Source organism: Homo sapiens, chromosome 1 (assembly GCF_000001405.40).
Source record: "Homo sapiens chromosome 1, GRCh38.p14 Primary Assembly".
NCBI classification, from domain to species: domain Eukaryota; kingdom Metazoa; phylum Chordata; class Mammalia; order Primates; family Hominidae; genus Homo; species Homo sapiens.
In genome coordinates this window covers 84,595,965-84,622,225 of record NC_000001.11, presented here as the reverse complement: position 1 = coordinate 84,622,225, position 26,261 = coordinate 84,595,965, and the positions used below count along the sequence as shown (strand labels likewise).

The window sequence follows — 26,261 nt, the reverse complement described above, 5'->3', positions numbered from 1 at the left end:
AAGGCCCAGACTGTTCCCCCAGTCGGGAACTCACAGCCTAGGAGGGAGGCATGTAGTCAGTGAAACTCAGCAGGAAGAAGCATGGGTCCAGGGGTTGGGATGGGGGCTGAAGTTCCATCATATGATGAAATACTCTCTGAGCATTCTAGTTTTTTATTTTCCTATTTTGAGACGTTGTTTCACTCTTGTTGCCCAGACTGGAGTGTGATGGCACGATCTCAGCTCACTGCAGCCTCCGCCTCCCAGGTTCAAGCGATTCTCCTGCCTCAGCCTCCCGAGTAGCTGGGATTACAGGCGCCCACCATCATGCCCAGATAATTTTTCGTATTTTTAGTAAAGACGGGGTTTCACCATGTTGGCCAGGCTGGTCTTGAACTACTGACCTCAAGTGATCTGCCCCCCTCGGCTTCCCAAAGTGCTGAGATTACAGGCGTGAGCCACCGCGTCCGGCCCGAGCCTTCTAGTTATGAAAGTGAACTTTGAGACCAAGTTTTCTTCCTCCCGGGACCCACTGACCACCGCCACCTACTTACCCCCAGCCAACAGCTGAGGAGGAAAAGACAAGCTTTCTTGGGAACCAGAGCAGTTTATCAAACCAAGAAGCAGCAAGGCCCCGTTTTTAAGGCCAGGGAGCCCCTACTCCCTGCCATTTGGCCGTTCTGTGTTCTCTTCAACGGCGCCAGTTCGACACGGGGCCTGACTCCTCGACAGCATTGCCTGGTTGGTTTAAATATATACTTACCATGATATATAATTGTGTATAGAAAAAGACACTAGGAGAAAATACCCTAAACATGTGTTTATCTCTGAATGATGAGATTAAAGGTATTTCATTTTCTTTTTTATGCTGTGTTTTCTACCCCCCCAAAAAAATTTTTTTATAATGAATACGCATTACTTTGGAGAATAGAAAAAAAAATTGTTTTTGCTTTAGAAACACACACACACACACACACACACAGGTGGAGGGAAATAAGGAGGGAGAGGCAAGGAGGTGGGAAATAGCCATAACCCAGTCTCAGGAAGCCACGCGTGGCTGACCCAGGCTGGCAGCCCCTCCCGCGGGGATAGGGGGATCTGAGGCCCTCCCTGCCCGCCCGCTCGGCCGCCCGCGTGCCCCGCCCCTCGGCCCCGGCAGAGGGCGCTATGGAGCCGGGCGCTGGTGAGTTCTAGCCCTTCGCCAGGAACGGCGATTCTCAGCGTCCTCTCCGGTGGAGGACAGAAGGCATCCCAGGGTCGCGGGAGAGCCAGCGCAAAGTGGAAGGCACCTTGTACGCTGTGAAGCGGAGATGCAGATGTTACCCTAACCAGAAGCCCACCCCGCCACAAATACTGGAGCGCCCAGCATGCGTGCGCCACCCGCTTCCCTGCAGAGGGCGCCGCGGGCCCGCCTCGCCGAGCGCGGGGTGAGATCCCAGTAGCCCAGAGCAGCCCGCGGGGCAGGCCCGGGCTGCCGCGGACTCCTCTTGGTAAGCCTCCTGCGCCCAGAGCCTCCCCGCTGGAGCTCCACCCTCGCCCGGAGGCGGCTTGTTCACCCAGCGTGCGCCCAGGGGAGCGCCTGAGCCTGACGTGATCCCATTGCCCCCGAGACCCCAAGAGTGATTGCATTGGTTTTGCAAAAAAGGAAGGACGGAAGGGAGGGAGGGAGATAATACATAATAATATGTAGTTGTGAAAAATTCAAATAACGTGTATTTAAAAAATCAGTTCTTTCGGCCGGGAGCTGTGGTTCACGCCTGTAATCCCAGCACTTTGGGAGGCCGAGGCGGACGGATCATGAGGTCAAGAGATTGAGACCATCCTGGCCAACATGGTGAAACCCCGTCTGTACTAAAAATACAAAAATTAGCTGGGCATGGTGGCAAGCGCCTGTAGTCCCAGCTGTCTGGGAGGCCGAGGCAGGAGAATTACTTGAATCCGGGAGGCGGAGGTTGGAGTGAGCCGAGATTGCGCTACTGCACTCCAGCCCGGCAACAGAGCAAGACTCTGTCATAAATAAATAAATAAATAAATAAATAAATAAATAAATAAAAATTAAAAATCAGTCCTTTCTGCTGACTCCAAGTTTTAGAGCCTTACTCCTCTAATGCAAATTTTAAAAATCTCTGAATCTGCCTATCATCTATAAAACCCCTGCTTACCTCTGTAAGCCCCCTACTTCAAGATAGCCTGCCTTTTCTGCTGAACTAATGTATATGTGCCCTGTATTGATTTCTGTCTTCGCCTGTAACTCCTGCCCTCCTGAAATGTATAAAACCAAACACATGCGGCTGCCTCGGGACCACTTACTCAAGGCTTCTTGGGTTGTTTTCCGGGGGCGGAGGTTACTCATACTGGCTTGACTAAGCCTCTCTTTCAGATATTTTACAGACTTTGATTTTTCTGTTTACAGTATTAATCAAAATGTTAACATTGGTAACTTCTAGGGGTAGAATTATGAATGATTCTTGTTTCCTGAATGTTCTACAACATTCAGAAATGGTGTATTTGGGGTTGGGGGAGAATTGTTACTATTTTTAAATCCCATCTACTCTTGGGGCTGTCCTCATTCTACATAAACAGACTAATTCCGGGTGGCAGCTCTGTCTTTTTATCGTGCACGGAGAGATTAATCATCTCCCACCTACACCAAGCAGCACTTTAGGTTCCCTGGGTAACAGAACTGAAGGTTTGTATCTCAGTGACTAATGATTATAATGCCCTTGGCTACTTCCTGTATTTTTACCAGCTCCAGGAGCAGAGAACGTTCCCTGCTGGCTTCTGGGAAATAACAAACACAATGGTGATGCTATCAAGTCTCTGTGAATTTAAAAAAACCTTTACAAAGGGGCATTCTTTCTGTCTTGTTTTTTTCTGTTTTGTTTTGTTTTTTGTTTTTGTTTTTTTGAGATGGAGTCTTGCTTTGTTGCTCAGGCTGGAGTGCAGGAGCATGATCTCCGATCTCGGCTAGGTGCAAACTCCTTCTCCCGGGTTCAAGCGATTCTCCTGCCTCAGCCTCCGAAGTAGCTGGGACTACAGGCGCCCACCACAACGCCCAGCTAATAATGTTTCTATTTTTAGTAGAGACAGGGTTTCGCCATGTTAGCCAGGCTGGTCTCAAACTCCTGACCTCAAGCGACCTGCCCGCCCCGGCTTCCCAAAATGCCGGAATTACAGGCATGAGCCACTGTGCCCGGCCGCATTGTTTCTTTTTGAATCTTCAAAAGCAATTTTTAAAATTTTCTTTGATTTTTGAAGGCAGAAAACCCAAGTTCTGATTTGAAGCTTGTTCTAATCAACCTAGAGTCTTTTTGTCTTTGGGAGCTATATAGACATTACAAGTCTCTTCCTTTCCTTCCCAGCAGAAAAGCCTTTGATGCTGTATTCTTAGCACATGGAACCCTAAACCAAAGCCTGCACTGGGGCATTTGTGAGAAGCGTGTGTGCAAAGCCTGAGAGACTCCCCTTTTGGGCATGCTGCTGGGCAGGGGTGTTCTGGTTTGACTTTGTACATGTAAGTGACTTATTTTAAATACATGTATTTTTTAATCACAATTTTAAAGGTAAATTAAAATGGTTAACATTTTGGTAACAGAGGGAGGAAACAAACAAGAGCCCTGTGTAAGCCTTTCATTCCCTGCGGATCAACCATTTCTAGTAAGTTCCTGTAGAGTATCTACTTCATCAGCCAGTATGATCAGCAGCAGGGAGCCATTACTCCAGGGACATTCTCAGACTTTAACATTTCACCAAGTAAAATTCCAAAACAACTTTAGGAATTGGCAATGGTATGCCAGCTTTTGGTTTGTCGAATGAAATTATTAGGAACCTGCCATTTACTGGCACTACTCTTTTTACAAAAGAAAGACATGTAGACCACAAGAAATGGACATGATCTCAGAACAAAGGCTCTTAAAAAAGAAATTCACCTTATAGAATATTTTGTCATATTTTCCTTAATTTTTCATTTTTCCAAAATGAAAATATTGTTACCAACTTGCATTTTGCCCATTTGCCTGGCTTAGTCACTACAACCCAGTGATTATAATTGAATCTTTATTTGATGGGACCTAGTCTTAACATTTTAGGGCCATGATGCTGAGTATCAGTGAACAGTATCAAGAACATTGAGGTGAGAAATGTTAGATATTTGGCTGAATTCATACTAATTCTGGGATCTTATACTAATCCTGCAACCACACTTTCTAATTTAGACAGGTATACTACCATTTACTTTAATTTTAGATGAGATTGTTTTTGTTTCCGTTGAATTTTACTGTACTTTCTAGGTATTATAATTGAAGGTCTTTTTACTTGGATTTTTGTCTGTTGAAGGCACTCTGCTAGTGACCACCCAAAGAACTGAGAATTTTGATATCATACTCTTTGGTCTAAAGTCTCTTCCAAATTATAATCATTGAATTTCAAAAAAGCAGTGCTTTGAAGGTGGGTTGTACTAGCCAACAACTTAAATGAGTTGAGGGGAAGCACAATAAGAATCAATTGAAATGAAAGGAGTACTATATACAAACAACTTTTTTTAACCTTTTCTAGAACTGAAGCAGATACTAGGACAACATTCATCTTCCCATGCTTAAAAGCAATTAAGAAGGGCATGCAGTTTGTAGGAGAGCTCTCCTGATCTGTCAATGCCTGCAACGTGTAGCTCATATCTCAACCTGCTGACATTGTCCTGCCCGCAGGCCTGGTAGAATAAACACAAGGAAGCTCCCTGGATGATGAGACAGGCAGGAGGTTTTCTGGGCACAGGCTCTACTGTATTACAGAGTAGAAATAACAACTTCAATCTTAAACATGACTTTCTTTCCAAACTTGAAATTAGTTGGTGTTAAAGTATTTCAACCAGGGAAAGAAAAACCCTTTAGCAGTTTTATCTTGTCTTGAAATGGAAAACTGATCCAGGTCCTGGATGTCTGGGGAAACAGCATGCATTTGCAGCCTCAGATTTCTTGAACTGCGCTTCTTAAAGGACCTTCCATCAGAAAGGACTCTGCAGAAGACTCACACAACATTGGTGCTTCCGTAGGCTTCATCCTTGACTCTGTTCCCTCATTCTTTTCTAGGTCAGGCCATCTCAAACTTGTGGCTGCAGCTGTCACTTAGAGTCGCACACCTCCTGAATTGGTACCTCCAGCCCTGACTTCTCTTCAGTGCTCCAGACACATGTATTTCTCTGCTCGCCAAACATCTTCCACACAACAAGCACTTTAAACTGAAAATATTCCAAATCAAACTAATCACATTCTGCTTGCTATCAGCAGCCTTCTTCACTCTCTGATTCCTTTATTTTGGTTAGTAGCAGTGTCATTTACCAAACTGCTCCAGCCAAAAACCCTGGTGTCAGCCTAAACTCCACACTCTTCTTTCACCTCCATTGTCTAATAGTCACCAAAGTCTGTCCCCTCCTACCCTAGCATATCTCACCCTTCCATTCTCTTGTTTCCATCCCATTGTCACTGCCCTATTTCAGGCTCTCATCACTTCTCACCTGGACTAGGGCAACTGCTTTCTTGTTTCCATTAAAAATTTTTATTTATAATTGATAATAAGTATACATGTCTGTGGGTACAGTGTAATGTTTCAATACATGTATATATTATGTAATGATCAAATCAGAATAGTTGTCCATCACTTCAAGCCTTTATCATTTTTTTGTGATAACTTTAAAGGTGTTTCCTAGGTATCTTGCAATGTACAAAGCAGTTATTATTGTTATTAGCTATAGTCACCCTACTATGTACAGAATACGAGAAATTAGTTTTCCTATCTAACTGTAACATCCCCTCCGGAGCCTTTGGTCACCATTGTTCTACCCTCTGCTTCTATGAGATCAGCTTTTATAGATTCCACATGTGAGTGAGATCATTTGTCTTTCTGTGCTTGGCTTATTTCACTTAACATGATGTCCTCCAGGTTCATCCTCGCTGTTGCAAATGACAGGATTTTGTCCCTATTTATGACTGAATAGTATTGCATATATATGGAGATATATATATATATATCTCACATTTTCTTTATCCATTCATGCACTGATGGATACTTAGCTTGATTTCATCTCTTGGCTATTGTGCTAAGCCCTTACTATAGTGTTGCAGTGAACATGGGAGTGCCAATATCTCTTTTGACTTATTGATTTCCATTCCTTTGGATATATATCCAGTAGTGGAATTGCTGAATCATACAGCAGTCCTATTTTTAATTTTTTGAGGAACTTCCGTATTGTTTTCCATAGTGTCTATGCTAATTTACATTCCCACCAACAGCATATGAGTTCCCCTTTCTTCACATCCTCAACAGTAATTGTTATTTTTTGTCTTTTTTTTTTTTTTTGCCATTCTAACTGGGGTGCAGTGATATCTCATTGTGGTTTTCATTTGCATTTCCCTAATGATTACTGATGTTGAGCATTTTTTCATATACATATATATATATATATATATGTATGTATGTCTTCTTTTGAGAAATGTCTACTCAGGTCTTATTCCCATTTTCGATTGGATTATATGGGCTTTTTTTTTTCTTTTGCTATTGAGTTGTTTGAATTTCTTACATATTCTGTTTCTTTTTTCTTTCTTTTTTTTTTTTGAGATGAAGTCTCACTCTTTTCACCCAGGCTGGAGTGCAGTGGTGTGATCTTGGCTCACTGCAACCTCTGTCTCCTGGGTTCAAGCAATTCTCCTACCTCAGCCTCCCAAGTAGCTGGGATTACAGGTGCCCACCACCATACCCACCTAGTTTTTGCATTTTTAGTAGAGACGGGTTTTCACCACATTGGGCAGGCTGGTCTCGATCTCCTAACCTCAGGTGATCCACCCACCTCGGCCTCCCAAAGTGCTAGAATTGAATTTCTTACATATTCTGAATATTAACCCATTACACCAGTGCATAGTTTGCAGACATTTTTTTCCAATTTTGTAGGTTGCCTCTTTGTTGATGGTTTCCTTTGCTGTGCATAAGCTTTACAGTTTAATGTAATCCCATTTGTCTATTTTTGCTTTTGTTGCCTGTGCTTTCGAGGTTTTTTCCAAAAAATTCTTGCCCAGACCAATGTCATGAAGCATTTCTCCTATGTTGTACTCTAGTAGTTTTATAGTTTTAGGTCTTCCGTTTACATCTTCATTCCATTTTGAGTTGATTTTTGTATATGGTGAGAAATAGGTGTCTAGTTTCATTCTTCTGCATGTGGATATCCAGCTTCCCCAGCACCATTTATTGAAGAAACTGTCATTTTGGGGTAACTGCTTTCTAACAGGTCTCTGGGGTTTGGTATTACTGCGCCAGAACCCTTTCATATAGCTGTCAGAGAGATGGCAGTGGAACAGCTCAGTTTATATCTCTCTGCTCTTTAAACCTATCTGATGATTCTTCATTGCCAGTAGGATAAAGTCCAAACACCTTGGCTTGTCATATCAAGTCCTTTCCCATCTGGTGCCCATCATCCCAGCTACCTCCTCTGATACTCTCTACCATGCATCCTATGATTGCCTCCCAATTTTACATTCTCTTCATCTTCCTGATTAAAATAGTGATTGCTGATTACATGTCCTCTCTTTTGCAGTTAGATGTGGCCAGGTGACAAAGTTCTGTACAGTGGAATGTAAACAGAAGTATCATGTGAGAGTTTCCAAGAACTTTTTCAGGAGGGAGGAAACACATGTCCTTTGCCCTCCCTTTTTGTTTGCTGCCTTCTCCATCCTATAGCCTGGAATACAGACATGATGGCTACCATCTTGGACTATGAACATGAGGATCACACCCAAGGGAAGGAGAGGCAGCAAGCTGGAAGGTACTATGGAGCAGAACTGCCACAGCCTGAGTACCTACCTCTGGAACTTTCTGTGAGAAATGAAATGGGCCCAACAGTTCCATAAACAGTTGTTTTGGGATAAACATAGAAATGGCCCCTAGCTTGAAATTTGCATTTGTTTTATCTGAGTTCCCTCCTCAGGAAAGGACCTTCAGGCCTCTCAAAAAAGTATCAAGAGAACTGACACCAGATGCCTCCTTGCCCCTCCCTAGTTCCTGTTTTCTTAAACATTGTTACATATCTTCCCTGCTATGTAAGCCCCTAGATTTAGTCAGTCAGGGAGATGGATTTGAGACTGAGCTCTCATAACTTGGCTGCAGCACCCGATTAAAGCCTTCTTCCTTGGCAATACTTATTGTCTCAGTGATTGGCTTTCTGTGCGTCAGTACCTAGACTGAACCCCTGGTGTTTCCATAACTTGGTCAAGCCACTGTTATTCTGAGTATCTGTCCCTTGCTGCTGTGCCTAATCCTAATTGACACAGAATTTGGTACCAGATCTGGGATGCTACAGGTCACTCCATGCTTATGTTTTTCTTTCTTTATGTTCATAAGAATTCAAGAAGCTAGCCAACCCCACTATCTTTGAATTATTCACTCTTGCCATGAAGATTTATTACCATAGCCACTTGGCCTTCCAGCGTTTTGATTTCCATGGATACTTTTTCTCCCAGGTGACTACAAGTGACAATGTATTTATTTTGAGATGGATTTTCACTCTTCTTGCCCAGGCTGGAGTGCAATGGTGCGATCTTGGCTCACTGCAACTTCTGGCTCCTGGGTTCGAGAGATTCTCCTGCCTCAGCCTCCTGAGTAGCTGGGATTACAGGCATCTGCAACCACTCCTGGCTAATTTTTGTATTTTTAGTAGAGACGGGGTTTCAGCATGTTGGCCAGGCTGGTCTCAAATTCCTGACCTCAGGTGATCCACCCTCCTCGGCCTCCCAAAGTGCTGGGATTACAGGCATGAACCACCATGCCTGGCCTACAAGTGATAATTTAAATAACTGTTCTGCCACTGCATACCACAGACTGGTAGGCCTTCCAAAGTAGATCTGTTTGGCAGAATCACATCCAGAACCATAGCTTCAAGGAATTCTGGAAACGTGGCTTTATTTCTAGATCTGTAGAACAGGCAGAACACTGGGAACAGATGTTGAGTGAGTCGATCCAGAGTGTCTGGTAAACATGTCTCAATCCAGCCTCATGAGATAAGTCATTCTTTGCCAGACTTGCCAAGATGGTAAGGCTTCCTTTAAGTCATTTCTGCATTTCCTTCTGCCCTGAATCTTATCTTCCTCCCTCCCTCCTTTCTCTGCTTTGTGAGCTTATGCTACTCTTTCAATATCCAAATCCAACATCATCCTTAGCAAAGCAAATCCATGCTGGTTGCTGCTGGCTCTGAGTAGCACTTTGAACAATCTTTGGTTAACATTCTTAGAGGAATCATATTTATTGATTACAGATCTCTTTTTCCTGATAAAATGTGCCCTCCTTGAGAACAGGAATATAAGCAGCTGTCATTGCATCTGACCCTTTCTGCATTTCTATTTGTATTCTCAGTCTGGCAAGGTGGAGTTGCTGAGGCAATGTTTGTCGAACTCGTGAATATTGATAATGGCTCCAAAGCTGCCTCCTCTCTTAGACCAGAGGGTTAAGAGTATGTAGACTCCGGCTATGTGGTAGCTCATGCCTCTAATCTCACTGAAGGAGCCTCATTGTCTGGGGTAAATACCAGGGTCCTTGGTCTCACAGTCAAGGAAATTGAGGTCACAGACACACACACAGAGTGAGATTGGAGCAGGAGTTTAATAGGCAAAAGGAAAGAACAGCTCTCTGTCACAGAGAGGGGTCCAGAGCAGGTTGTCAAGTTTTAGTAAAAATGTCAGGGTTGGCCAGGTACGGTGGCTCACACCTGTAATCTTAGCACTTTGGGAGGCTGAGGCGGGCAGATCACGAGGTCAAGAGATCGAGACCATCCTGGCCAACATGGTGAAACCCTGTCTCTACTAAAAATACAAAAATTAGCTGGGTGTGGTGGTGCGTACCTGTAGTCCCAGCTACTCGGAAGGCTGAGGCAGGAGAATTGCTTGAACCTGGGAGGCGGAGGTTGCAGTGAGCCAAGATCATGCCACTGCACTCCAGCCTGGCGACAGAGCAACTCTCTCTTAAAAAAAAAAAAGAAAAAAAAGAGGGAGTGTCTTATCTTCCTAAGGCCTGAAGATTTAGTTGGGACCAGGTGTCCTATGTGCATAGAGCAGAGTTTTCTATCAGTTCTTACCTCATTTCCTTGATCACATAGGCAGACTCAGTCCTTGCTGCTTTGTGCTGCTTTGTTTTGCTTATCTGGGAGGGAGAGTTTCTGTGTCTGTTCCCAGACATCTTCCTGCAGCTGCAGGCATCTCCCCACAATCCGCTTTTAGTTTCTCTATCTTAGTGTGCTTAAAGGGAAAGGAATGTGCTTATTAAGGCCCACGGTTTTTACTGGGGTCCATTGTAGGAGTGTGAAGTTTGGTGATTACCCAGGGGACTCCCCCTGTCCTTCTGTGCCCGAGTTGTTTGTTTTTACAGCCTGATCTTTCAAGCTGTTCTTTGTTAGAAGAGAAGTGATTTCTTTGAACTGCATGAGGTTAGAAAGAGAGCTATTTCTGAGCTGCTTTTTGTTAGAAGAAAAGTTTCTGCTGGGGACTCGCTTTACCCTAACTGTCTACCTAAATAAATTCTGTCTGTCTTGTATAACATATTTCCCCCTCAGGAATGGAATCCCTAACTGCTGTTAGGGGGAATTGGGCAACAACTTCTTCTGGCTACTTCCCGCTGGAGAGGGCGTGGTACGGGAACAGCATCTAGGGCTCCTCCTGGGGTCGATCTAAGGGTCCCTGGTAGAAGGGTGGTTTCCTTTTTGGCTCCATTTGCAGCACCATCTGAAGCTTGATGGTTTCTAGGTGAGAAGAGAAACTTTACAAGGAGGTTTAGAATATAGGGTCCAAATATATATAAGACTACCATTATTAGTGAGGCACTATAGGCCATAACCATGACAACAGAGTTTGTTTGATATCTGTGAGCCATTTAGATGGGTTGTGCTGTTGTAACTGGGTGTATGGGGCTTGGCTTTGTTTAGCTCCCTTGGTCTTACTGTCCCCGCCAGAAAAGGAAACCTTGGGGTTATAGGTTACCTGGCAGGATTTGCAGCATAAGTGCCCAGAACTAGCACATTGTTCCAGATTTTTATATTACCCATTCCTTTCTGTCTCCTTTGAGCCACAGCTGGAGATTGATGATTGGTTTACAGGAATAAGCATGATTAGTTTAAAATGTTGGCAAGAACTTACAAACAACTAATGAGACTAGAAGTCAATGACAGATTGTATTAGTCCATTTTCACGCTGCTGATAAAGACATACCTGAGACTGGGCAATTTACAAAAGAAGGAGGTTTAATGGACTTACAGTTCCACTTGGATAGGAAGGCCTCACAATCATGGTGGAAGGCAAAAGGCATGTCTTACATGGTGGTGGCAAGAGAGAAATGAGAGCTAAGCAAAACAGGTTTCCCTTTATCAAACCATCAGATCTCATGAGACTTATCTACCATGAGAACAGTATGGGTGAAACTGCCCCCATGATTCAATTATCTCCCACTGGGTCCTTCCCACAATTCTGGGAGTACAATTCAAGATGAGATTTGGGTGGGGACATAGAGCCAAACTATATCACAGATGTACAGTAAGTGTGGAACATAATTTCTCTCTCCAGTTCTCATTTTTATGAAAAACAACTTATGATAGGACTGAGCTGGTTGCAGAATAAACTTTAGTCCTATACTTGGCCTGATTATCTGCAAAAAGTACAGCAAGAATAATTACCTCTGTGTATTTTGATTGGTTTTGATAGAACTCTGTTCCACAAGGAATCTTGGATAGGACTTTTTGAAGCCAAGCCCAGCCATGAGTTTGTACCCTCAAATACCTGTGAGTTGGATAAACTTCTTTCTTCTTGAGGTTCCAGGAGCATGGGGTTTCCGGGCCTGTTAGAAAGTGACATTCTTTACGCACCACAGGTCAGGAACACTGTACAGAGACTGTGTAGACAAGGTATGCAGCCAGTTTTCCCAAAGGGCTTTCATTGGCTCTGCAAGTCAAAGCCTTGAAGTCAAAGCCTTGGTAAAACAATCAGTTTTTCCAATTGTGTTTTGTTGCAAAAGAAAATGGATTCTTGTTGCACTGATGCAAATAACTATATAGTTGTAATTCAAGAATACTTATAACTAGTTTCCAAATTCTAGAAGAACTAGGCAGAGAGAAACAAACATGCTCCAAACATTGTTTACAGGAGTATAGTTTACTTAGTTCTTAAAGGCTTTTAAGAAAATTTCCTTGACTCTGAAAAACAAAATAAGGATCACCAGTGTTACAAGCATAAATCAAGAATATTGCTTTAGTTTTCTATTAGTTCAGCCCATTCCATTAACTCTTGATCTGCTTGTTATTCATAAACATTTCAGCTTTGTATGAGTCCTATACATTTTTTAATCAAAAACCTGCATTTAAGAGCACCTATGTAAGTTCCACAGCTGATTAGAAACTATTTTTTTTAAGAAAAAGATTCAAACAAGACAACAATTGTTTGTAAATGACAAAATGTCCAGGGTGGTTACAGTCAAGAACATGATTGACAAATTTGGTTGTTTCTGTGGCTTACAATAACCTAACATAACAACCTTAATTGTGATTAATAGCGCGTATTATTCAGACACTAGTACCTTAGACATTCCATACAGTTTTGGAACATATGTTAATATTATTCCCTAAAATATAACCTGAAGAGTATTAGACATCATTTTGGCAATTCCATGTACCTAAACAAGTTAAATAATCCTATTTACCTCTCTTCTGGATGTTCTAGGAGCCCTGTGCAGAACAAAAAGCTAGGGGCTAGGAAAGACAACCTTGAAACTAAAGTTTGATTTTGGGAAGCCTGTTAAATATGTTCAAAATTTAAAACACTTGATATTAGATTACTGTAAGTTTTTTGTTTTGCCAAAATTATGAGTCAAAAATTTGAAAAAGCAAAAACCATTCATCAGCCCTTTCTATTACATGAAAATCCTATTCAAGAGAGAATGTTAAATTTCACCCTTGCATTTGTTTGCTATTAATGTTAACCCTGATTTTTAATGAAACTTTATAGACAATCCTATTCAATCTTAACCAGTTTGACCATGAGGTGAGATTTACACAAACCTTTTATGACCCTCTACAAATTTTGCTAAAGAGTAGATCAGCATTTTAAGAAAACCCTGTGCTTGCATTTTAATCCTTAATTTATAAAACTATATAATACCCCTTTGAAATTAGTTAATATGTTCATACACAGAGTTTCCTTTGCAAGATTAGTTTTTACAATCTTTTTACAATTTGCTTAAACCTTCTGCTTTATTTTATTTAAGACAATCCTTTATGGCTAGGCAAAATGTACATTTTCATGCCTTCTTATCTTTAATTAAAAACAGCTTTTACTGTTTTTTTACACACCTTGCATGCAAATCCATGTTCACTAGTCTCATTACATGTCATAATGGTAACACTTAGCAATTTTTAACTTTGATGTAAAACCTGGTAGGTTGTTTTAATTATGTGCTAGATGCAGATAAAGTTTGACTGCTTTCAGCATCATTAGGGGCATGGTTACTTCCATATGTTCCCAGGCCTTACCAATTGTGAAGCAGGCAAGTAGACAATATTTAAAGGCTAAAAAAGCAGTTACAACCTTAAAACATTTATCAAACCTAGTATCTGACCTGCATAATTTAGATCACATTTTTACATCCTGAAGACATTTGTATTTTACCAATAGTTTCTAAGACTGTTTTTATTTTTGAAGATTAAAGTTGTGTGAACTGAAAGGTACCACAGCTTTTACTTTTTCTTTAAAAATACTTTATTTAAGTGCTTATTTTTCTTAGTCCAATTAATTGGAGCTCTTTTCAAATAGACATTACACACATAACACATATATAACCACACAGACAAACAGAAAAAGATCCAGTGGTTCTAAAATTTTTCATTTGCTAATTTCCCAATTGGATTATTAGCCTCCTGGTGAGACCCTTTAAGAACAGGGCTAGGAATACAGTTTCCAGGGCCTAATAAACAAGCAAAGCTGGAAGACAAAGATAGATTTTGAGAACTACTTATTCACCTTTAATTCCAGGTGTTCCATGAGGAAAACAGATTTTTCCCAAAATGGGATTTGTGGCACCTTTTCTGTTTTCCCAAGGAGTCCCAGGCTACCAGAAGTCATTCTAGGGTCTTTCATGCATGCACCAAGAGTGGTAAGTCACAGTTTTCTCAGTTGACTGAGAAAAAAAGACCTTTTCCAGGAAAACAAGATCTATAAAGAGAAAAACATAAAGGCCTTTAAAATATACCCATAGGTTTGATATCCACTTTGAATTAAGCTGAGTGCTCTTTAGGAAAATCCTTTTTCACAAATAAAACTTTACAGTGAAGATAAACAGTGATTCTTACCATTTTTCCCCCAGTTTGCACCACTACTTGTTCACAATCATGTTTAGGTTCTCCAGTTTTCTCTGGGAGAAAGTGGCTGGGCTCAGGAAGTGGCAGGTTTTCAACTGGACTGCAGATCCCTTTAGCAGCAAAGCTTGATATTTGAGGAGGCAATTGTCTGTTAGCCAGACTTTCCTTAGAGGACAGTAGTCTTGTTATATTGCGTGGAGCTAAACAGTTAAGTTATTCCCCATTGTTAACCCATTGGCTGTAGAGCTGGACCTCCAGTCTTAGTCAAAACTCCCAGGGCTATTTTCTTCCTTTCCAATATACATAAAGATTAAATACCTTCCCTATGGGAAGGCTGAGAACTGGTGCTTTAAGCAAGGCTTGCTTTAGCTGGTTTAAGGCTTTTGTGTTTTAGGTTCCCAAGTTAGGGAGCTGCTTGAGTTTCTTTTAAGAGTTGGTATAAAGGATGAGCTATTTCACCATACCCTGGTGCCCACATTTTGCAAAATTCAGTAATGCCCACATTTTGCAAAATTCAGTAATGCCCAATAATTTTCTTAACTCTTAAAGGAAACGGGGTTAATCCTTTCCTCACCTGGTACTCTGGTTCCTTCTGTGCTGTGTCTGTCCCACAGACCTTGGCCGATGGGTGAAATGAGTACTCAGACACAGGTATGCAGTGTAAGAGCAGCTAGGTGACTGCCTGGCTCCAGTGGCCAGACAGCAGTCCCGAGAAGCTGGAGCTGTTTGCTTTTATTCAGTGCAGGCACAATGCCGAAAACCTGGAGCCAACACAACCTGCAGGTAATTAACATTTATTGTTCCCCTTTCAGGGAATGTTGCATGGGGATGATCCAAGGTCAGTTCCTGGTCAACATAAGTAAACAAACCGGTTTAAGATAAATTCCCCCACACTCCCTTGTACCTACTCCTTGCCCTCTGCCTTAGGGTTATAGAACAGCTGTCTTCAGCCATTCTTCCCTGGGGCTCTGCAGAAACTTCCGACCTTTCAGAAGGTTTGTGTCCTTTCCCTATAGTTTTTTCACCACCCTGACCGATCCCCCACACTTCTGATAAGATTAGGCCTAGGTACTTTACTGAAGTTTGACAGAGCTGAGCTTTAGATTTTGAGACCCTATACTCCCTTTTAGCTAAGAAATTGAGAAGAGTCTTAGTGCCTTCCTGAGACATCCTTGAATGGGGCACAGAGGAGAGTGTCATTTACATACTGCAAAGTTTCAACTTGAGAGTGAGAAAAACTAGAAAGATTTTTAGACATGGCCTGTTTCAGCAACTTCCTTTTGATATCAGGGGCTGCCTGAGTGATGAACCTGTTTTTTGTTGAATTGGAAGACAGGGAGGTGTGTTTTATTAAAGCTTCTCTCAGCCTTTCCAAAAAGGTAGGGAGATTTTTATCTGGTTTCTGATTCAATAAGGACAGTTTAGAGTAATTAAGAGGTTTGGTCCTAGTCCTTCTTAGGCCCTCTGATATGCACATTAAAAAGTATTTCCTTTTCCATTCATCTATGGGGTCACAGGGATTCCAGTCAGGATTGTCAAGAGGTATAGCCTCTCTCCCTATTGAGATTGTTTTTTTCTGTTATTTCCTCACCTTCCTTATCTCCCCTTTTCCTTTTTGGTCACTATAGGGAACATGTTGTTCATCTCCGAACTTTTCTGCTGCTTGCAGAGCTGTCTGCTTTTCAGCTGCAGTGAGGGTTTGGCTGAGAAACAACAGCACAACATCCCTCCATGTGAGGTAAAACACTTAAGTTAAATTTTGGAAGGCCTCTATATATCTATTAGGGTTATCAAGAAATCAGCCCATTTATCTGCCTAAGGTCCTGCAATGAGAAGGGAATAAGTACCTTAATGGTGCCCCTTCCATCTGGCATTTCTTGTAGGGGTAGGAGTGAAGTCTGGGCAGTGGGGAGCTTTGGAGATGGTGGAGCTGGAGGAGCTGATGGTGCAGCTGGAGGGGGCCCTGGACAAAGGGGACTGGAAGGACTGGGGCACTTAGAAGCTGCCTCTAATGGTTCCTCCAAAACTTGCTCTTCTGACTTAGGGGAACTACTCTCCACAGACCTGTCTGATATGATTGCTAAGAGGGCTGAGTTGGTTTTGCAATGCTTGCAAAGGTCTGGGTTGTCTCGCAGGGCAAAGGAAGCCTGCACATAGAGAACCTTGGACCATTTGCTCTTCCATCTACAGAAGAGATCTAATTGCTGGATAAGATTAAAGTTAAGGTTCCCTTTAGCTGGCCAGGTCTGTTCATTCCTGAGAGGGTAAGAAGGCCACACCCTTGTGCAACAGAAAATGAGCCACTTTTTCTTCAGAGTTTGGGTGTCAAAGGAGTTCAAAATGTACTCCAGCAGAGTGCAAGCCAAAATGACTTGCTACCCATCCTGGAAAAGAGACAAGAGGAGAGGCATCCCTCAGTCTCCTTGTTCTTTTTGGTGTGACCCAGGGTGGAGGGGATGACAGTGGGAGTGTCCCCCTGACTGTTCTCTCTCCTTGGTCCCTGGGTCCCAGCACAGTGTGTGCCTCCCCATGGTTGCAGGTGTGACCTTCAAACCATGGTCCCAGAGGAGCTAAGTAATGGGGATAGTCACGCTTACCCATGTGACCTTAGTCCTTTGCCTGATAATTGCCCTTTGACCTCTCAGACTTGTGTGATCTGTGTGACTCCTTGATGAATGGGTATCAGGAGAGATTATGTAACAGTTGCATTTAAGCAAGGCCCCTTAATGGAGGGAGTGTACTGGGCTGAGCTTTATACTCTGCTATTATGGACCAGACTAGAGAATTTATGTTTAGATGGTGGTTCCAGTTAACTTCCAAACATAAAATCCCCTTTCTATTTAGACGAAATACTAGTTGCAAGCAGAATAGGTGTCTCAAGAGAATGTAAGGGTCAAATGGCAGCCTTTCTGCTAATGGAGAGAGTATTGAGACAAAAATTTGGTTTTGGAGGACATTTTTTTCCTCACTGCTGAAAGCAGAGTTCTCCCACTCTCAGAGGTACATAAGGTTTGATCTCTTTTAGAGGGATGTAAAAGGGAGAAAAAGTGGAAAGCTAGAGGCTTTTGGCAAAGGGCAGACGAGGTTGCCGATGGAAAGGATTCCTATTCCACTAGGTGACGCTGCAAGCTTTGAAATACCAGGCAGTAACTTGGCCTCCGTATGGACAGAGAGGGAAGTCTGACATGTGGCAGGCCATTCCTACAGCATGCCTCCTAGCAGGAGAAAGTTAATTCGCCTCATAGAGGGACTATGCAGTCCGGCTGGGTAGTGCTGGTTCTTCACATGGGAAAAGAAACAGCCTAGGTGGAGAGAGGGATGTTCATTGGTGGGGAGATAACCTTCTACCCAACCCCAGGAAGTGCTATCATTAGGAGTTAAATAGTCTTTCAGATCTGGATCACGAAATCCCCCTGTCGGTAGAAAGTCACAAAAACAGCAATCCCCTTGACCTGCATTTCTGGTTGCCAAGGTGGTTGCTAAGCCTGCCTAACTGAATTATTTCTCTGGGCTATAAAAATTCCCGCAGCATTGTGTACAGAGAGGGGATGGGAGACATGGTGACCTCGGAAAGGAAAGGAGGAAAATAAGATTTGCAATAGGAAAGCTTGGCAATCTTGTGGCCGACACCCAGTCAGGCAGTCGGAGGCTGGTGTCAGTCCAGGAGCCTTTGGACAACACCAGGGTGTAGCCCTGGCCAGAAATCCTCAGTTGCCCCAGGACCTATTCCAGCCCCATGTGATGGCAAAGTGAAAGGAAACTGGTTTGGACAGAGCCAACGTTCCCAGCACCCTGAGGGCACTGGAGGATTGACTAAGTCCTCCCCAGCAAGCTTCACATCTGAGTCTTTAAGATTAGCGGCTAGCCCTTGTGACTCATTAATTAGCTGACAGATGCCCGATTTTTTTATAGTTCTTTGAGAGAATAAAAACTGGGGACGAGAAGCCTCGGAAATGAAAGTAGAGAGTCCACTCCTTTACTCACTCTTCCAATGATTTCACCTTCAAATCCTGGACGGGCCCCCCAAATGAAGTAGCCTCATTGTCTGGGGTAAATACCAAGGTTGTTGGTCTCATGGCCAAGGAAATTGAAGTCGCAGACACACATACACAGAGTGAGACTGGAGCAGGAGTTTAATAGGCAAAAGGAAAGAACAGCTCTCTGTCACAGAGAGGGATCCTGAGTGGGTTGCCAAGTTGTAGTAAAAATGTCAGGGTTTTTATAAATGGGCTAGTGAGGAGGGGGTGTCTTATCTTACTGAGGCCCAAAGATTTAGTTGGAACCAGGTGTGCTATGTGCATAGAGTAGAGTTTTCTATCAGCTCTCACCTCACTCCTTGATCATGTAGACAGACTCTTAGTCTGCGCTGCTTTGTGCTGCTTTGTTTTGCTTATCTGGGAGGGAGAATTTCTGTGTCTGTTCCCAGACATCTTCCTGCAGCTGCTGGCATCTCCCCCCAGTCCACTTTTAGCTTCCCTATCTTAGTGTGCCTAAAAGGAAAGGAATGTGCTTATTAAGGCCCACTGTTTTTACTGGGGTCCATTGTATAAGTGTGAAGTTTGGTGATTACCTAGGAGACTCCCCATCTCCTGAGCCTGAGTTGTTTATCTGTGTTTTTACAGCCTGATCTTTCGGGCTGTTCTTTGTTAGAAGTGATTTCTTTGAACTGCATGAGGTTAGAAAGGGAGCTATTTCTGAGCTACTTTTTGTTAGAAGGAAAGTCTTCTGCTGGGACTCACTTTACCCTAACTGTCTACCTAAATAATTTCTTTCTATCTCATATAACACCACCACTTTGGGAGACAGAGGCAGGAGGATCACTTGAGGCCAGGAGTTTGAGATCAGCCTGGGCAGCAAAGTGAGACCCCTTCTCTGCAAATAATTTAAAGATTAGCCAGGTGTGGTGGCACCTGTGGTCCTACCTGCTTGGGAAACTGAGACAAGAGGATTACTTGAGCTCAGGAGGTCGAGGCTGCAGTGAACCATGATCATGCAATGCACTCTAGCCTGGGCTACAGAGTGAGACCCTGCCTCAAAAAGCAAAAAAACAGAAAAACAAAAAAAAGCATAGACCCTGGAGGAAAACTGTGTGTGTGAATCTTGGCTCTACTATGTACACCAAGGGGCAACTTGGGTACATTCTATAACTTCTCTATGCCTTAATTTCCATCTCTTGTTAATTGAGGATAATCAAACCTACAGAATTGTTGGGAAGATTAAATGACACAGTCCCTGCGAAGCATTAGCACAGAACCTATCACACAGATAGAACTCAATCAGTGCCAGCTTTTCTAATTGTGGTAGTTGTTGATCGTTTGCACACTCTTCACTTTCCCTTTTCTTCCCTCCCCTCTCTGCACTTTGCTTTTCAGTAACATGTCAACGCAACAAACATTTTCTGAGCCCCAGCACTGTGCCAGGACAAATATGGTCACTACCTTGGGGAGCTTGCTGTCTTTTGAGGAAGCAGACACATAAACCATGAGGACAACAAAGCATGGCCTATGAATGATAGACATTTTCACTCGTTTCCGTGGATGCAAGGGTGACAGTAGCAGTCACCATAATCAGGAAAGAAAGAGCTGAACAGGAAAGGAATTATAGAGGGAATAATCCTTGATTTAACTTTTAAAAAACAGGAATGGAAGGGAGAAAAGACTTTTGGTCAGAGAGAACAGCATGCGCAAAGGCATGGAGATGTCATACAGTGGAGCGTAGGGAAGAGCCAGTAGTTCAGCAGAACCTGCCCAGTGGTTCTCAAACTTGAGCCTGCACCTGAAGGCCCTGGAAGCCTTGTTAAGAAGCAGATTGCTGGATCCCTCCTCCAGAGTGTCTGATTCATTAAATCTAAAGTAGGGCCTGAAACTTTGCATTTTAAACAAGTTCTCAGGTGATACTCATGTTGCTAGTCCAGGGACCATACTCTGAAACCACTGGGAGGCCAGAGCATAGTGGGTAGGATTGGTTAGAGGAAAATGGTGAGAAACAGAACTGGGCTTCACATGCTAGCTCACCGGTGTAGACTTTGTAATTTAAAAACAATGGGCTGGGCACGGTGGCTCACACCCCTAATCCCAGCACTTTGGGAGGCCGAGGCGGGCGGATCATGAGGCCAGGAGATTGAGACCATCCTGGCCAACATGGTGAAACCCCGTCTCTACTAAAAATACAAAAATTAGCTGGGCGTGGTGACATGTGCCTGTAGTCCCAGTTACTTGGGAGGCTGAGGCAGGAGAATTGCTTGAACCTGGGAGGTGGAGGCTGCAGTGAGCCGAGATTGTGCCACTGCACTCCAGCCTGGCGACAGAGTGAGATTCCGTCTCAAAACAAACAAACAAACAACAGCAATGAAGTACTTAAGGACAAAAGCTTATGATCAGATCTATGTGGCATAAATTGACTTTTTTTTGAGATAGGGTCTTGCTCTTTCACCCAGGCTGAAGTGCAGTGGCATGATCATGGCTCACTGCTGCCTCAACCACCCCAGACTCAGGTGACCCTCCCACCTTAGCCTCCTGAGTAGCTGGGACTACATGCCAGCACACCTGGCTAATTTTTAGTATTTTTTGTAGAGATGGGGTTTCGCCATGTTGCCCAGGCTGGTCTTGAACTCCAGGGCTCAAGCAATCTACCTGCCTCTGCCTCCCAAAGTGCTAGGATTACAGGTGTGAGCTGCCGTACCTGGTCCAAACTGGATTCTAAGGGCACAGAGCTTCAGAAGGGAAGACACTTGAGTTGAGTCCAAGTGCGTTTTGGGTGATCTGTTGGGCAAACAGTGCAGGCCTGTGCTGGGTTCCCAGCCTCTAAGACCAAGCCTTTCCCCACAAGCTGCTCCTTTTCCCTGATCACAGGATTAAAGCTTCCACCCGTGCCCTGCATCTCATGACTTCATTTCCTCGGGAATCACCCTCTTCCAGACATCTTCAGCCTTCAGTGTTTCCCCACAACGCCTCTGCCTCCCAACCCCCAAACCTGCCCCAGCCCCAGCCCCATGCTCTTCCTGTTGGGCATAGTTTTAAGTCAAACCTTCAACACACAGAGTTCCCCGAGTCACACTACCCACCTACTCCATTTGTGTGCTATTATTGGCATTTTTTTAACCAAAATGTTCTCAATGAGTGGTCATTGTCTGCCCCATTTCCTCACCCCTGGTCCCTGCCCCTTCAGCCTTGTTCTGTCCCCACCCCTATAATGAAATAGCAACTTGTTTTTCTTTTTTGCCTTAATTTCACCACCTCTACTACCACCAAAATGTCTTAAGAAAACCCCATATGAAGGGTTCCAGTAAAAATAGTAAGTGTTGAAAATCCCAGAACAGAATTGAATGCTTAGGCCTCTAAGCTTTTATTAACCTTCTATTTCAAAACAGCTTACAGAAGATTCACATGTGATGAGAATATATTATTGTTCCTAACTGAACTAACATAGTCTAATTTGTCTAAATTGAGGCTTAAGTAAAGTACAATTCCTAGAGCTGTATGTTTTAACTTTCCTCGTCTGTTTGTCTGCTCCTTAGAACAGGATTTATCTACCTGTGTATCAAGTACTATAATGGAGCATACTATAATGAATTGTCCATTGTTTATGTCTACATTTAAAATTTGTTTAGAGACCTGAGATGAAAATGGGGCTTGTCAAGCCCTGGGAGCATAAACAAATCTTATTCTTAAGAAATTCCTCACTCAACCAATCATTCTAAACAAATATAGAACATCCATTGACTATAGTTCAAGCTCTTGGATATATAACAGGAATTGGCCTAATTCTTGAACAGGCAGTTTTCTGAGTATTGATAATAGCCAGAGGGCCCACACTTCTGTTTTGTACTTTCACCTTTCTTCTGGACCATTTTTCCCTTTCCTTCCTTCCTTCCTTCCTTTTTTTTTGACAGGGTCTTACTCTGTTGCCCAGTGGTACCATCATGGCTCACTGCAGCCTTGATCTCCCGGGCTCAAGTGAATTTCTCACCTCACTCTTGAGCAGCTGAGACTACAGGTGTGTGCTACTATGCCTGGCTAATTTTTCTTTTTTGGGGTGTTTGTTTGTAGAGACGAGGTTTTGCCATGTTGCCCATGCTGGTCTTGAACTCCTGGCCTCAGGTGATCCACCTTGGTCTCCCAAAGTGCTAGTATAACGGGTACACCTAGCCTCGACCATTTCTAATGCTGATATAAGTCTTTAGTCATATACAGTTTTTTCACAAATGCCTTTCAACAGGAAGGGAGCAGCTGTAATATCTCCAAAATAAATTTCTGACTCAGGCAGGATGCTTTTTATAACATCTATGAGTCAGAAGAACTAAGTTATAGAAACCAGACAGGGGCCCATTTCTTATCAATAATTTTGCTTGTTTAAATGTTTTTCCTCCACTTTCTCCCTGCTGTGACTGCAAAATCTATAGCTTTGTCAATTGTTTAAATTCTTCCCTAGAAGCGAAACTAATGATTTTCCATGTCTAATCAGTGAGAACAGTGCAAATTCTTCTTCCATCATGATCAGAATCTTCTAGGGTTATGGACTCTTTTAAACACAGATCTGAGTCACACATCAGAAAGCCTGTGGTCTTAAAACACTCATGCTCTCCTGAATTTTTCAGAGTTAACACTGGAGGAGACTCGCCCCCAAGTTTGCAGGGAGAGCTAAGTCTATATAGCATTCCTAAAGGGAGCCCAGAGAGGTCCTGTAAGGTGGAACTGGTGGGAGGGCAGGGAAAGGAGAGAAAGACGCTCTCTCTGCCCACACTCCTCCACACAACTCCATCAATCATCCCAAATCAAAAGAGAAAATTAGCCATATTATTTTACACTTGAGTCAATTCCGTGCAATCCAAGTGTTTCTTTTACCAGTTTAGTTGCTCTCTCAAATGCAAAATACTTTGGAAGTCATTTAAAAACTGCCAGAATAGTTCTTCCTGCACACTGGTTTCTGCCAACTCAATTTGAAATTGGCTCTCTCAGTTCTCTTTTTCTCATATGCAAGCAACTAGCCAGATCTCTACCTGCAGATGATAAAATGCTACCCCATGCAACTCCAGGTTTGCTTCTAAACCAGGTCAGGAGGCTGAGATCAAAACAATGAGGACCACTGGAGCCCCTGGGGAGTCTCCAAAAGGGTAATTAGGCTTCTGCCCAGGTCTGGTGGATTTCCCAAAGGCTTGTATTTTTTCAGAAATGGAGTGGAGGGGAATTGGGGAGAAATTACAGTAAGTGAAGGCCTTAAATGGCCTGGAAAATCTTCAAGGTGGTATGACATCATGGAAACCTCATCCAGCTCTTTGAAAGTGATCCCAACGTTTAGCACATTACAGGACTTAACACAAGGCAGATACTTGCTACATATTTATAGGATGAAAGAATAAACAGACTGCTAGAGTAAACTAAAAAACAATTCTCAAACACTAAGGATGTTTTCTCATATTTTCTTTCGAACGCTTTTGTTTGAAAAATGTTAGCATTTCCCATAATCTTGCTTCTAGATTTGATCTCCTCAAATTAATAAATATAAATGTTTCTGGCCCCCAAACCGCTATGATGGCAGCCCACCTCTCTGACCCTGTGAAATTTAAACATACCACGGAAGGCTGGAAATTTTATGCTTCTGAAAAGATGTTGAAAACCATCATCAACATATTCTGTAGTATCCTCCACATGCTGCATGTGACCATCAAGAAAACATAACTAGTCTGTGAACTGCGGGAGGTGCTCCAGGTTCGCTGACACTCCCCTCAGCTGCGGGGTAGGATGGCCAGATGACAGAGGGATTGTTCTCTCTCTTGTTTGCAGTTGGCAGTTTTGGAGTTTGCCCACCAGATATGCCATCCAAGAAGACCAAAAGTACAGCAGGATGATTGTGAACAAGACCAGGGACCTCAGCCCTTGCAAAAAAAGGTTGAAGACTATGTACATGAACGACATTCTAGGCTATCCTCAGGTGGGTTCCAAGACTAGGGCTCCCAGCTTCTTCCCTGGATCAACACCCAATGGGCGTGGCACTCAATACCTGCTCTTTAATCAGTGCTGTACTGATTTGATCAGTACTTTTCAAATTATGTCCTACGTTGTCTGAGATGTTCTACTCAGGAGCCCTGGTGAGGGATGATGTGTGAGAAAAATTCAAGTATCTCCTCTTCTAAATTGAGAAGTCCTAGCCTTTGTCTTAAAATTGATTTTGTGTGTTAGGCTTTCACTTTTTTATTAGATGGTAAATGCTCCATTCTTCAAACAACAATGATAGCTCAGGAGGCCAAGAATATGTGTTCTGATTTGTTCCTGAATGTCACTGCGTCTAACATGAGACTCTGCTTCCACAGGCACTTAACACATACTTATGAGACTGCTTTCTCTCAACTTCATTTCCACATGGAAACATTTGGAACCGAGTTTCCATTCCTGTGACTTTCATTGTGGGAAGACAGAAAAGAACCCAGCCCAGATTTTTCATTAAGCATGTTTAACACAATAATAGTGAGATGAAACTGAGGGTGAGAGGTTTTAAACCTGTGATGTTGTGCTCTTTTATGTAGGAGAAACAAAGTTCTGTTTTGCCTGGCATCATGGGAGAACTGTGATTGCCTGTTTGATATTGTGTAGATAAGCTAAGCTTGCACAAACTATTGAGATGATTGCCTGGCATGGGACATAAAGGAGTCATTAATTTCATTCCTAAGTGACAGGAAAGCAATAGCCATGCCTCTGGTTGGTTTGTACTTACACAGAGAGAAGTCTACAAAAGGGAGAGCTTCACTTATATACAAATGAACTCTGAAGAGCCACTGAAGTGCCCTGATCACTGAAGTTGTAACCTAGCAAGTGACCCAGCCTTCACTGAGCTGAATGAGGTTGCCATTTCCCAATTAAAGTAGGACCCGGGATGGTAGAACATCAAGGATCAGGAGATTTTCATTTTCAGCTCTACCGCTATTAGCTGTGTGACTATGAAAAAGTCATTTTGCCTGTTTAGGCTTCAGTTGTATCGTTTGTAAAATGGGAGTCATAATAACTCCATCAAAAGGTTATTGCAAGAAATAAATATCCCAAAATGACTACCTGACATCACAAATGATCAATTTAAGGTTGTCATTTCATTGGAAAAACGTGGTCAAATCGGTTGATTTGTGTCTGTGGCCCAAAGAAATTGTTACTAAAGTATTCATTTTTCCTCATTATTATGATTGGAAAGTGTCCTCTCCAAGATTCATGTTGGAACTTAATCTCCAAAGCAATCCTATTAAGAGGTGGGGTCTTTAGGAGGTGATCCGGTCATGAGGACTGCTCCCTCATGGATGGGATTAAAGCCCTTAAAGAATAGCCTTCACACATGGTTTGAACCCTCTTTGCCCTTCAGCCTTCTGCCATGTGAGGATGTGGCACAAAGGTGCCATTTGGGAGCAGAAACTGGACCCTCACCAGACACCAGACCTGCCAGAGTTTAAGAGCATTAGAGGCCACGGTAAGGACTCTGTATTTAATTTGGAATGTGATGGAAAGTGGTAAGATTTTTTTTTCATTTTTCGTTTCTGTTTTTGTTATTTGTTTCAATTTTTTGAGATGAGGTCTCTCTATGTTGCCCAGGCTGGACTAGAACTCCAAGGTTCAAATGAGTCTCCTGCCTCAGACTCCTCAGTAGCTGAGACTACAGGGGTGCACAACCACACCCACCTGGAAAGTGGTAAGATTTGATTTATGATTTTGAAAGATACTTCTGGCTGCTTTGAGGGAATAAGAGGTTCAAATAGAAGGCTATTACAGCCAGCCCAAAGAGAGGTGATGGTTATTTGGACTAAAGTAGTACAGGAAGGAGGACCTTGCATGGTTTTTCATCATAAAGTTCAATGCTGTAATCAGGGACTGTTAATATGAAACCATTTTTCTCATGCTCAACCATAACATGGGGCTCTATAATGAAAAAGAAAAAT

The 26,261-nt window shown here is 42.9% G+C and overlaps 1 long non-coding RNA gene across 1 annotated transcript, besides 2 other annotated features; it reads left to right on the top strand.

Moving 5' to 3' along the window:
- Nucleotides 993-1,232: a silencer, noted in NCBI's record as "silent region_1023". NCBI's record gives its function as "represses an Ori minimal core promoter by ATAC-STARR-seq in GM12878 lymphoblastoid cells {active_cell/tissue: GM12878}" and the evidence as "EXISTENCE:reporter gene assay evidence [ECO:0000049][PMID:35858748]".
- LINC01461 (long intergenic non-protein coding RNA 1461) lies at nucleotides 1,195-24,262 on the top strand. Its single transcript, NR_125761.1, has 3 exons — nucleotides 1,195-1,469; nucleotides 3,342-3,493; nucleotides 24,130-24,262. It is a non-coding gene; the product is annotated as a long intergenic non-protein coding RNA 1461 (long non-coding RNA).
- Nucleotides 1,323-1,392: a silencer, noted in NCBI's record as "silent region_1022". NCBI's record gives its function as "represses an Ori minimal core promoter by ATAC-STARR-seq in GM12878 lymphoblastoid cells {active_cell/tissue: GM12878}" and the evidence as "EXISTENCE:reporter gene assay evidence [ECO:0000049][PMID:35858748]".
- Nucleotides 24,263-26,261: the final 1,999 nt, after the last annotated feature.